Source organism: Homo sapiens, chromosome 7 (genome assembly GCF_000001405.40).
Source record: "Homo sapiens chromosome 7, GRCh38.p14 Primary Assembly".
In the NCBI taxonomy this organism is placed as follows: Eukaryota; Metazoa; Chordata; class Mammalia; order Primates; family Hominidae; genus Homo; species Homo sapiens.
This window is the reverse complement of record NC_000007.14, coordinates 116,521,144-116,533,668: the sequence shown is the minus strand read 5'-3', so window position 1 is coordinate 116,533,668 and position 12,525 is coordinate 116,521,144. Positions and strand designations below refer to the sequence as shown.

At 43.1% G+C, this 12,525-nt stretch overlaps 1 protein-coding gene across 4 annotated transcripts in view, besides 5 other annotated features; it reads right to left on the bottom strand.

Annotated features, from left to right (window-relative positions):
* Positions 1-8,660, bottom strand: part of CAV1 (caveolin 1) — a 36,177-nt gene extending 27,517 nt beyond the window's left edge. The window contains exons 1-2 of one of the 4 annotated variants that reach the window (NM_001172895.1): positions 7,864-8,660; positions 6,980-7,144 (exon numbers count right to left, since the gene is read on the bottom strand). In NM_001172895.1, the coding sequence (NP_001166366.1) occupies positions 6,980-7,081 (102 nt within the window). In that variant the 5' untranslated portion in view covers positions 7,082-7,144; positions 7,864-8,660. Of the gene's footprint in view, positions 1-6,979; positions 7,308-7,863 lie in introns of those variants that run through there. The other 3 variants (NM_001753.5, NM_001172897.2, NM_001172896.2) reach the window with 3 other exon arrangements.
* Positions 6,932-7,031: a silencer, noted in NCBI's record as "silent region_18558". NCBI's record gives its function as "represses an Ori minimal core promoter by ATAC-STARR-seq in GM12878 lymphoblastoid cells {active_cell/tissue: GM12878}" and the evidence as "EXISTENCE:reporter gene assay evidence [ECO:0000049][PMID:35858748]".
* Positions 7,262-7,651: a silencer, noted in NCBI's record as "silent region_18557". NCBI's record gives its function as "represses an Ori minimal core promoter by ATAC-STARR-seq in GM12878 lymphoblastoid cells {active_cell/tissue: GM12878}" and the evidence as "EXISTENCE:reporter gene assay evidence [ECO:0000049][PMID:35858748]".
* Positions 10,060-10,354: a silencer, noted in NCBI's record as "tiled region #9016; HepG2 Repressive non-DNase unmatched - State 21:Repr". NCBI's record gives its function as "represses a minimal TATA promoter and a strong SV40 promoter by Sharpr-MPRA in HepG2 cells {active_cell/tissue: HepG2}" and the evidence as "EXISTENCE:reporter gene assay evidence [ECO:0000049][PMID:27701403]".
* Positions 10,060-10,920: a biological region, named in NCBI's record as "Sharpr-MPRA regulatory region 9016".
* Positions 10,280-10,920: an enhancer, noted in NCBI's record as "OCT4-H3K27ac hESC enhancer chr7:116162803-116163443 (GRCh37/hg19 assembly coordinates)". NCBI's record gives its function as "activates a minimal SCP1, AML or CMV promoter by ChIP-STARR-seq in naive H9 embryonic stem cells {active_cell/tissue: H9 hESC(naive)}" and the evidence as "EXISTENCE:reporter gene assay evidence [ECO:0000049][PMID:30033119]".

Sequence of the window (12,525 nt, the reverse complement as noted above, 5' to 3'; positions counted from 1 at the left end):
AGATAGCTACAAACTCTATGTAGGCAGCATTTATATCCTGGCTAAAACAATTAGCCGGGAATTGTGGCACATCCCTGTGGTCCCAGTTACTCAGGAGTTGCTTGAGCCCAGGAGGTTGAGGATACAGTGAGCCAAGATTGTGCCATTGCACTCCAGCCGGGGCAACAGAGCAAGATTTTGTCTCAAAAGAAATAAATAAATAAAGAAAAGAAACACAAAATAGTTTGCCCAAAATATTTTTGGGGCGTTCATTTTATTTTTATTTTATTTTATTTTATTTTATTTTATTTTATTTTATTTTATTTTATTTTATTTTATTTATTTTATTTTTTGAGACGGAGTCTCGCTGTGTCACCAGGCTGGAGTGCAGTGGCGCAATCTTGGCTCACTGCAATCTTGGCCTCCTGGGTTCAAGCCATTCTCCTGCCTCAGCTTCCCCAGTAGCTGGGATTAAACACGCGCTACCACACCCAGCTAATTTTTGTATTTTTCATAGAGATGGGGTTTCACCGTGTTGGCCAGGATGATCTTGCTCTCCTAACCTCATGATCCACCAATCTTGAGCTCCCAAAGTGCTGGGATTACAGGAGTGAGTCACTGCGCCCAGCCTTTTTGGGGCATTTATTAACTGCTTTTAGACAAACAATTTTGCTCCCTACATATAAGCTCAAATCTCGTGGACTACTGAGGAAGATAAACCTATGGGCCTAATATTTTCCGTCCCTTCTTCCTCCTTGGTGTCCAGTGGGACTAGAACGCTTTCCAGTTGAAAGAGATCATGAAAGCATTAGGCCATTATGCTGAAACCACACCTGATCTGATTACTTCATGCATGCCTTTTCCTGACTGCTAAAGAAAAAGAATTTTGTGTCGGTCTTTACTTTAGAATCACCACATTCAAGTTTTAGAGAAGACAGTTACAAAAGTTGCAAATATTTGTTTTCTAATCTTGGCACAATCCTCTTGCACTACAACAGGTTGCCTCTGAGCATCTATGTGTTAGGCATAATTTCTAGGGGCTGAGAGTGTCTTTTTTAGAAAGTTGTTTTAAAACAAGTATAGTTTGCAAATCTTTTTCTCTAGGGCCTCAGATTATGGTAAAGAAGATACTAAATATGCAAGGTCTCCAGGGTGTGGAAGAAGAGTGTGTGTATCTTGGAATAAACCATCTTTGTATAAAGACAGCAGCCCTCAACTTTCCCCACAGCCAGGGGGATTATGGAAGGTCCAACCCCGCAGGTGAGCGCACATAGCCCTGTCCTCTTAGAGACCAGCTGTTTCTGGTCATTCCATCACAAAGAGTTATGTTTAAAAGTAGGGCAAACTAAAAAGCAGTTTCATTTGGAATATGAAAGTGTCTGTTATTTTATGGACTTGAGTGGGCAGGATACATAAACAGGTGGTTTTTCAAATTACTGGACTTTCCAGATGCAGCTCACTATTGCAGCTGTTCCTACTTTGAACCCCTTAAAAGTGTAGCCAACCCTGCCGTTAACTGAAAGAATATCCCACATCATGAAGCTTTTCATAATTCAAGGGTACTTGGTGCACCTTGCCTTAAATTTTAATAAATAATATGAAATCATGTTCAGTTAAAACCGAAGTTTTTTGATTGCAGTTAATAGATGGAGGAGGGAAAAGACTCTTTTAGTAAGCATTTAAAATGTATGTAATTTTGGGTTGAACCTGAAAGCATTTCATATGCTTAAGAATGAATAATAGCTGCCATTTTGGTATCATCCTTTGCTCAGTATTCTGAGAACAATTTCCCACTAAAGATGATCATAATGCAATTTTACAAGCTGGGGATTCTGAATTCCACGCATGACTTCATACATGGTAGAATATCAATCACCAACTTGTGAAGCTATCTCCTAAACAAATACACAAGCAAAACTAATACTAATGCCAACAGAAAAAGATATTAACATGGTGCCGAGACAATCTGATCTTTTAAACCTAATGCTAGACAACGAGTTAGTGGGTGCAGCGCACCAGCATGGCACATGTATACATATGTAACTAACCTGCACATTGTGCACATGTACCCTAAAACTTAAAGTATAATAATAATAATAAAAATAAATCTTATGCTTTGATTAGATGTATATCAAATAAATAATAATTTTATAAATGACTGTTATACTGATATTAATCACCAATTGCTCTAGAATGCTTTCAAGTTGAAAGGGATCACGGAGGCATTAAACCTTTGTACTATAACCAAAACTGATCTGATTATCACCTGCGTGCATTTTCTTGACTGTTAAAGAAAAATTTGTGTCTGTGCATATTTAAGAATCATTACATTCCAATTTTAGAAAAGCAAGTTATGAATGCATATTTCTGTTTTTCAACAAAGACCTCCTTTCAGATATCCTGATTTGTCTCAGTGCTAACAGAATCATCTAAACACATTTTTCCTCTCATGACAATAGTCCATGGTGAATCACATAATCTTATCTATTCTTCTTTAATGATACATTTCAAAATATTCACTTTGGGCAGTAACTATGTAAAAAGATGGATAACATTTTAAACTTGTTAGCCCTTAATTTCTATTAATATTACAAAAGAGGAATTGGAGGCCAGCCTGGTAACCATGATGATCCCTTCAAATTCTAAAATTCTGTCATTTTGTGCATGTATGTTTCGATCCACAATGCCACTTCGCATTGTCTTCATTTCACATCTGGACCATGATGCAATTACATCTGAACTCTTTTCTGCTCAACTAGACTGGCTACTTTTCATTACCTTCTGTACCTTCACCAGAGTCATTTTACAAAAACGTCACCTTCATTATACCACACCGATGCTTGCAGTCATTTATGGCTGTCCACTGTTGACATGATGTCCAAACTTATCATGAGTGCTGGATTTACAGACTCCGCATTTTACTATGATCAGTCTTTTCACCTTTATCACCTACCACTCTGCCACATGAAATCTCAAATCCCAGTCTGATTGAGCTACTACAACTCCCTTGTGGGAGACATTCTTGTCTCCATGCCTGGCTCGTTTAGAATGCCTTCCTGTGCTTTTGCCCCAGCTATTTGCAATCCATCTGTCCTCCATGACCCAATTCAAACTGCACCTCCTTCATACCATTCTCCATTAAACCAGCTGCAATACATCCTCCTTCTCTGACCCTGCTATCCTTTTCATGGCTGGGTCTCCCTAACACTTCATATTGATACCATTCCCTATTTAAAAACCTTTTTGTTATGCAATATTCAACACTACTGTATTTACTTTTGATTCCTTATCATATATATTATATTTGGTCTGTTTCCAAAATGATGAGAAGGCTTACAGTAGAGATCACATAAGACAGTATGTCAGTTAAAAGGGGGAAGTGAAAATACAGAACCATATGTGGGAACATGAATTAATGAAACTTAAAATCCAGCTATAGATTTGAAACTGCTTCCTGGCAGTCAAGGCAAAAAAAAAAAAAGGAAAAAGGACCAATCAGTTTCCATGTAGCAGTGACTTACTGTTTTGGTTGTATGTATGTATTTTTTAAAAACACTTTTTACCTGTGTGCATGTCGTCTCACTAACTGTAATCTTTGTGATTGCTAGGATTTATTGTAGGAATTACATAGCAAAGCATCTAATCTAGCATATTGCATGGGTTTAATAAATAAATTAATTGATGGCTAATTTTATCAGAATTATAGATTTGAAGCCATTTTATTTATCTAGAAAATCAAAATAAGTACATAATAAACATGTGAATAACAATGTGAACAAAAGATGACACAGAAATCTCAGAGGGAGAATGAAGGGTTTGAGTTTGTGACCACTTTAATTAAAGGAAATTTTAAAAAGTATTCACAAGCTACTTAATATTTTTGGGTAAATGTCTATATTTGGGTAAATTGTCTCATAATGTGGAGCAGCAAGCTTTTAGTAAGATGAGAAATTAATTTTATTGGAACTGGATTGTATACTATAATGTGTGTCATTATTACTAGTAAAATAGGTAATAATGCTGCACCTTCTTGAATATAAACTCATGCCACACATGAGTTTTCTTTCCTCTCCAGAAATGAAACTGGGGTTTCATTTCTTCTCTAGAGTTTTGTTGTTGTTTTCTTTAACTTGGCAAGGGGATGCTTTTACAATGCAGAGAACACCCTAATCTGGCACTGTCCAATAGAGATTTCTGTGCTGATGGAAATGTTCTATGTCTGTGCCACTAGCTTTACCTGTTGCACACTCACAACGTGGCTAGTGTGACTAAGGAACTGAATTTTAAATTTTACTTGATATTAATTACTTGAAATTTAAATGGAAACACAAATGGCTAGTGATTACCATATTGGACAGAGCAGCTTTTACAGGGCTGCTTGCTTTTAGGACCAACTTTTCCTTACTTGATTGGGTACCTTTAACAGTAGATTCCATTGGCCACTGGTTCTTTCTTATTATGTGAAGTTTTAAGCTACCATGCATTAGCAGTAAAGCTTTGGGTGCTTTTAAGAAGCACCCAAAATTATTGTCATGATTTTTTTAAGAAGTCTGTGTTGTTGGCCAGGTGTAGTGGCTCACATCTGTAATCCCAACACTTTGGGAGGCCAAGACCAGTGGATCACTTGAGGTCAGGAGTTCAAGACCAGCCTGGCCAACATGGTGAAACCCCGTCTCCACTAAAAATACAAATATTAACCCGGCATGGTGGCGTGCACTTGTAGTCCCAGCTACTCAGGAGGCTGAGACAGAAGAATTGCTTGAACCTGGGAGGTGGAGGTTGCAGTGATCCCAGATCATGCCACTGCACTCCAGCCTGGGTGACAGAGTGAGACTCCGTCTCAAAAAATAAATAAATAAATAAATAAAAATAAAAATAAAAAAAGTCTATGTTGTTGAAAGTAAAATTTAGGGAAATTTATTATTTACTGTCATGGAAACTGGGAGAGAATCATCCCTGTTTCTGTTATTTTGTTTGTGCTTGGACTTGAGGATACATATTTATAAAATAGGAGTCTCCATAAGATGTAGATAGGACCCTGTTCATCGGCCAGGCACTCTTTGGGCAGAATTTGCATTTGTAGTCTTGGTGTCTCTCTGTAGGGCATTCTCTGAAGTCCCCTCTAGGCCAGGCATCTGAGTGAGACTGCCAAATTCTTTTCTAGGTGGATTTTTTGGTTTGACTGTCTTGTTTTGCTCACAGTTCTATGAGCAAGTAGTCAGGGTTTGGTTTCTTTAGGCTAGCAGGAGCTTGCTCTAGCTTTTTCTTTTAATTTCTTTAATTTGAGGATCCCCACACTTGCTCTTTGAAATGCTGTTTTGTAAACTGCTATTTCCTCCAAGCCTGTTATGTTTTTTTTCCATCTGTGTTGAAGTCTCTTTTCCCAGTGGGGCCTTTCTTTCTCAACTTAGTCATGCTATGTGTGGAGACCCACATCCACACTGTTGGCCTCTCTGACTCATCCCGGGAGATTCGCTTGCTCCAGGGAATCTCACTCACAGTGCAGTGGAACAACAGGGAGGATCCAGTGAAGCCAGCCCTCTCTGAAATCTGCCTCTTTTCCTGGCAACTCTCCTTCTTGTTCAAAGCCACATGAGAAGGGTGGGGGTGGGGGAAAACACAAATATCCTCTCCCTTTAAGGTAATGTTTTTAGTAAATAGTTTTTTAGCAATTCTATTTTCTAGTTTATAAGGTACTTTTGTTGCTGTTGCTTTTAAATATTCCATAATCCAGCTAGTCAAAAAAAGCTGCAAATGCTCCAATTTTCCTTTTTCCTACTCCAGGAAGCCAAGGGAGTCAATTCTGACAGTTTTTTTTTCCCTTCCAGTTACAGATTAAACTGTTTCCCCTTTTGAAATATATTATTCATGAATGTAAACGGTTTGTGAACTATAGCTCCTCCCATCCATAGATAGCAGGCGTGGTGGGTGGAAATTGCTCATCCGCCTCATTGATTGCTGGGGGTTGTATAGGAGTAGATCTTCACACTGCAGTCCCTGAGCCAGGATTTTTCCTTAGCCCTCCATTTCTCAGAGAAAACCCTTTGCCAAGGATGGCTCTAGCCCATGATATCCCAATCCAGATGTGTTTAGGCAATAAATTCCTCCCACTAGATTGGCTAAAAGGGTCAAAATCTAATAACAATGATAATTTAAAACTGACCACTGAGTCAGATCTAAGTCTGGCCAATAACCCAGTCCAATTATTTTTAATCTCACCAAGCACATCCTGAAAGTATGAAAAGGAACTCCAACCTGAATGTGCCATTAGCTCAGGGCAGGCTGACCCAGGTAGCTACTAAAGAAGCAGCTTTCCACATCTAAGTGCAGGTGTCCATAGATAGAAGAAACCAAGAGGCATACATTGTTTTTGGTTTTGTAAATTTGCTTAGTTGTGCACAAGTGACTTGTTAGTCTAGTTAAAGTAACTTTCATATGTATATGAATAAGTACGTATTTTCTTTGTCTTTAGTCCTAGGCATTTCCATCCACTGTAGTATTTTTAAGAAAATCACTTCCCATCGTTTTAGTTGGGGGAACATGCCCATCTTGTATTCTGACTCATCCTCAGCACAAGACCTGACACAATTATCTGACTGTCTTAATGCCACGTGCAGTGGGGACCTGTCACTAGACTTTCAACCTGGGAATGGATAGGAACCATCTCACCGTCCCAAGGAGTATGGGCCGTCTGTTGCTGAGGTCAATAGGCTCATTTGCTAGGATAAAAGTGTAGTTATAGGAACTTCTACAAAACTCACTTTAGCTGAATTTCAGCTGAACTAACTATTGGGGGGAGATGGGGGAAGGGAGATGTAACGTTTCTGCCGACTGCGGGAGCTCCCACACATCAAACCCACAAAACTCTGTGTGTGTGTGTGTGTGCGCGTGTAGGGGGCGGGGTGGGGTGTGCGTACACGGCAATGCTAAAGAAGGATGCACGGGCTAACTGCCAGAGGAGAGCTGTCCCAGCCCTTCCCTGTTGGTCGCCTTGGCTTACCTTGACCACGTCATCGTTGAGGTGTTTAGGGTCGCGGTTGACCAGGTCGATCTCCTTGGTGTGCGCGTCGTACACTTGCTTCTCGCTCAGCTCGTCTGCCATGGCCTTGTTGTTGGGCTTGTAGATGTTGCCCTGTTCCCGGATGGGAACGGTGTAGAGATGTCCCTGCAGAGGGCGGAGGGCGGACGGCCAGGACGGGGAGGGCGGCAACGGCGGTGGGAGGAAAAATGCAAAAAGAAAAACAAGCGATGAGAAGTCAGCCTGGCGGCGGGGGAAACCTCGAGCTCGAAATCGAACTAACCGCTCCGACAGCTACGGCTCCGTGCACAGAAACCGCCTGCGCGTAGCCAGCTTTTTAAGAGGATCTCGCAGAGGACACCACACCCCTCTGTACTCTGCAGGGCGCGCCTGCCTCCCCCGCCCGCCGCCAGGGGTCAGGGCAGGCCCCGCCGCGCGGTCCGAAGGCCCCCGCCCGCGCACGCCCCGGCTCAGCACGCAGGACCCGCAGGACCCGCAGGACCTCGGCGGCGAGGGGGCAGCCGCAGGCTTCTCCCGGACTCCCTAAGCCGAGTCGCTCTCGCCCTGAGCGCTTCACCTGTTTCGCGTTCCCGTCCCCGGTCCCTATTACCCCTGCCCCGGTAATCCCTTCCAGCTTTATCTAAGATCCAACAGCAGCCGCCCGACCCGTGGAATGTTCCCTTTATCGCTGCTTCTTGGCCGCATCCCCCTCGCACCTGCCCGCGCCCCCCACCCTGCCTCGGCCCTCTCTTGTCCCTCCACGGCTCTCCCTGCTCAATCCGCCGTGATGATCACAATCCCGAAAGTCCCCATTTTTGGCGGAGCCAGGCACCAGACCCCCTAAATGTCCTAGAACTCAGTCTCACCTGCGCAGCTCCCCCGACCCACCCTCAGGGCACTCCCAGGCTGCGGGCGGGTGGCTGAAGGGCAGCTACGTGTTGGAAGACGAGGTTTCCACACCCGGGCAGAGCTCCAGCGCGTGGAGGGCGTTGGAAGTGATGGTGGCAGTTTGGGGAGGGGAGGTCTACCTCTCTCGGAACACCCCTGCCAGACGCCAAGATGCAGAAGGAGTTCTTGAGATGGTTCAAGAACTTTGGAAAGTGCAAACACACCGCGCGCCGCCTGCGGGACCTGCCGGTCTGGGCGCCTGGCGGAGAGTCCCGGGGACTGTCCCCAGGACTCGGGTAAATAACACCTCCACCCTGCACTCCACCTCTTCGAACCCCCAGCAGGCAGGGCCGGACCGCGGGGGTCCCGCGACAAGGGAGCATCCTAGACCCATCCAGAAAACGCGTCCTGGGCCCAACAGACCCAATCTCAGGACCCCAATCCCCTTTTCCGTGTCCTCCTAGCTCAGGGGCTCCCTAGGCCCCCTCTCCATTAGGAAAACATAAAACATTCCTGGCTTCTCTTCACCTCCCCGCCCAGGCCCATTCCTCAGCGGTGCCAACGCCAGAGGAGTGCTCCGAAGTGGAGAGAGGGCTGGGGCCAGGGCAGCAGTCGGGATATTTGGAGAGGCAGATAGCAGAAGCGGACACTCCCCGCACGCCCGAGCCGGCGCCCCCCCACGGATGCCTACCTCCGAGTCTACGTATTTGCCCCCAGACATGCTGGCCCGTGGCTGGATGAAAACTGTGAGGAGGTTTCCCTGGGCTGTGCTTTAAGGGAACTGAGGAAGGAAGATCTTGTATTGTATGGGGGGAAAAAAAGGCGCTGGAGGGGGGCGGTGGCTGGGAGGGAGCCTCCTGGCCGCCCGCCAAAGGTTTGTTCTGCTCGCGGTTGGCCCGGACGTGTGCTGCGCCGGGTCTAGGCACATCCCCAAGGTTCTGGCAGCAGAGGGCGGGGAGCGCCCGCAGCGAGCAGAGAGCGAGTGAGAACGTTTCTCCCGCGCTGGGGTGCTTGGGCAGATTATTTTAAACCTGAGGCAACATTTTCCCTGCTCTGAACCACCGAGAGGCGTCCCGGGGAGAGCGAATGTTTTCGCAGTGCATCATCTCAGCAGGGGTGGAGGGAGCCGACGCGCCTGCAGAGATGCCCAGTATGGGCAACCAAGGCGGCAGAAACAATCCACAATCCTGCCCTGTCCTAAGCCGTCCCTTCCCACCTCCCCCACCCCCCGCCCATCGCCCAAGTTCCATCTCTGCCTTAAAACACATGTGTCTCCCTGTTTCACAGAGGGAGGGATGAAAGACGGCTAGGAACCTTTAGGTACATTTCACATCTAAACTTTGTGGATCCCTTATGGAAGGAATCTGTGTGGGTGCCTGTGGTGTACTTTTGGTGACACTCGTTTACATCTAGTCGGTGTGGATGGAAACTTAAGCAGGCATGCAGAATTTAACATTTCCCATCCGTTTCTGAAATGTCTCCCAAACGCTTCGAAATAAGAAATGAAGATCTTTAACTTTTCTATAATTTTATTACCGATATTTTCTGGAACAATGGAATTTTATGCCAACAGGTTATGCCATATTTGCAAAATACACAAAATGTTTATAATTGTAGAATTATTTAAAGCTTCAAGTTTATTACCAGAGAAGATTTTTTTTTAATGTGCTTGGCTGTGAGGAAAGATTTGACTTTTCTAATTGACTAGACTTAAAAAAAATGTGATAGCGATTAAAGTATTTTGTCTGTTCCTGAATCTGGGGCTTCTGTCTTTACTTTATTGTAAAGAAGCACAAAATGAATTAAATAGTAATCAGTCATTTTACTCTTGAGCTGTAATTAATCAGGAAACTCATTATCCAAAAATGAAAGGACATGTTACTTATGCTTCCATATGCAGTCAAAAGTCAAAGTATCACTTGAAATTATTTTAAAAAAAAAGCTGGAGTACACTTGAAGGGGCACAGGTTAAAATTAAAATGGAGAGGGGAATGTGGGTTGGGAGTAAGAGGGAGGAGAAAGGGAAATGGATGGAATGCTGAAAGAGTTGATTATTTAGTTAGAGAGAAGACACAAAAGTATAAAAGAACTATAAAGGACAGGCTATTGTTGGTAGCAAAAATTTTTGGAACAAAAGATCAGTTTTAACTAAGAATGGCAGGGAAAGTGTCACAATGTTACAAATGTTGGCATGCCTGTAATTATGTTGGCCATTCATGATTAGCAGACTAAAGATCTTTCAAAAGTTGGATTTTCCCAAATACCACATTAGTGGGAGCTAAATGATGAGAACTCATGGAAACAAATAGGGAAAAAACAGGCACTGGGGCCCACTTGAGGGGTGGAGCGTCGGGGAGGGAGAGGAGCAGAAAAATAACTATTGGGGAGTAGGCTTTGTAGCTGGGTGATGAAATAATCTGTACAACGAATCCCTGTGACACAAAATTTAACAAACCTGCACATGTACTCTTGAACCTAAAATAAAAGTTAAAAAATTTGGAATGCTTTAAAATAAGCTTATTTATGAGTAAACAAATAATTAGGGTCTTCCTTCCTTCCTTCCTTCCTTCCTTCCTTCCTTTCTTTTCTTTCTTTCTTTCTTTCTTTCTTTCTTTCTTTCTTTCTTTCTTTCTTTCCTTCCTTCCTTCCTTCCTTCCTTCCTTCCTTCCTTCCTTCCTTCCTTCCTTCCTTCCTTCCTTCTTTCCTTCCTTCCTTCCTTTTCTTTTTTTCTTTTCTTTCTGACAGGGTGTCCTCTGTCACCCAAGCTGGAATGCAGTGGTGCATTCATAGGTCACTGCAGCCTGGACCTCTTGGGCCCAAGTGATCCACTTCAGTTTCCTGATAGAATGCTGAAACTATAGGTGTGCACCACCACACCCTGCTAATATTTTTAAAAAGTGTTTGTAGAGACGGGGGTCTCACTCTGTTACCCTGTCTGGTCTCAAACTCCTGGCCTCAAGCAATCCTCTTGCCCTAGTCTCCTAATGTGTTGGGATTACAGGCGTGAGCCACTACAACTGGCCAAAAAGTTGCGTTTTCTTAATTTCATTTCTGTCAGATTGCATTTCTAAATTCTTTGAACAAATTATATTAACAAATATTAACAAACACAATACACTAGAAAAGGACTGTCAGGTTCAATATGTTCTATAGTACCTAGCCCACCTCTAATGACTGCCATAAATTCATTTAATTTTTCCTTCATACAAGTCAACTGGGGTTACGTTCTATGGAAAAATGTGGAAACCACTTCCCATCTATTGTTATTCAGTCTTCAGCTGTGATGAGTAATGTTAACTGTGAAAAAAGTCAACAGGAACACAGAGGGAGCTTGTCCTGCATTCCAGCAAGAAAAGGACTTTCCAGGGAGGCCTTTAAGTGAACGCTTAACTAGTACTCAACCGAGGGAAAGCAATCTCGCTGGGAAAGTCCATGTAGAAAAGTCTAATCAACAGCAACACATGGAATCATAATGATCAGTGAAGCGTTGTCAATGCCAAAATGCATTCCTAATGAGAGGAAAAACCACAATCTCTTCATTAACCTGCCTCAACAAGAAGCTGGCACCAAAGAGAAACACATCTTAGTCTGGTTATAATAGCTGACTTAGGGAAACTGCTCTCGATTTATGAGAAATAAAAGGAGAAGAAGAACATTGTTAGCATAGGTACAAAATTGGAAATGAATAGATGATATAAGCAAAATTGTTTTTGTTTGATTCTCACACAGGTAACTTTGGGCTTGGAGGCGAGTTAATAACTTTCTCCAAATCATTTACTTAAAAAATGAGTATTTGGCAATTCATTTGCCCTCTAATATTTTTCTTTTTTGGAAGCAGCATTAAAGGTCATCCCATGGATTAGAGGGCACTAGAAATACAGATCTAAAAGCCACTCAGGCGAACCAAACCAACCATCTGAGCGATGAGGATACTAGAGCTTAAATACATTAAAAATACCTTTTCCTAAGGAGATTGTTGGATAATGAAACATTTTACAGTTGATAAATCACTAGAGAACCCGTTAGCAACTTCTGAGACATGAGGTTCTTAAGTAGGCTAGTCAGGGTCAGCTTATGGCAAAATTGTGAAATTCGTTGCTTTTCATGTTCTCTCATCTCCTTCTCTATGTCGCTTTGCTCTGGTACAACTTCCTCTTCCCATCCCTACCACCATGGGTTCTTTTCACATTCTTGGCTACTTTTTTTTAACTACCACTATAAGATTTGGAATCTAAAGGTTTGACCACTCTCAATGATATCAATAGTGTTAAGAAGCAGGCATCTTTCCAACATTTCCCAACACTCAGCAGTCCGAGACTTCCCAAATGTGCCTCTGGCAATGCGTTCAGAGAAGGAATTCCAGCTTGGGTTATAATAGGAGTTATCACCAGGTATGATATTATAATCAGTATGGCAGAGCCACCAACCAATCATTTCAAACTTCAGCCGTGGCACTGGAGCTGTGCATTAGAGTACTGCTGGTTAGTTGCTGAATCATTAGGAAGTTAAGGGTCCTCAGGGGAAGGGCAACGTACATTTCAGAGCGGTGACTATTTACATGCAAGTGTATAAACATGCCAACATTTTAACCATCTGTGTGTAAGTGCATAAACATGTCATCTTTTAATGATCTCTGAGTT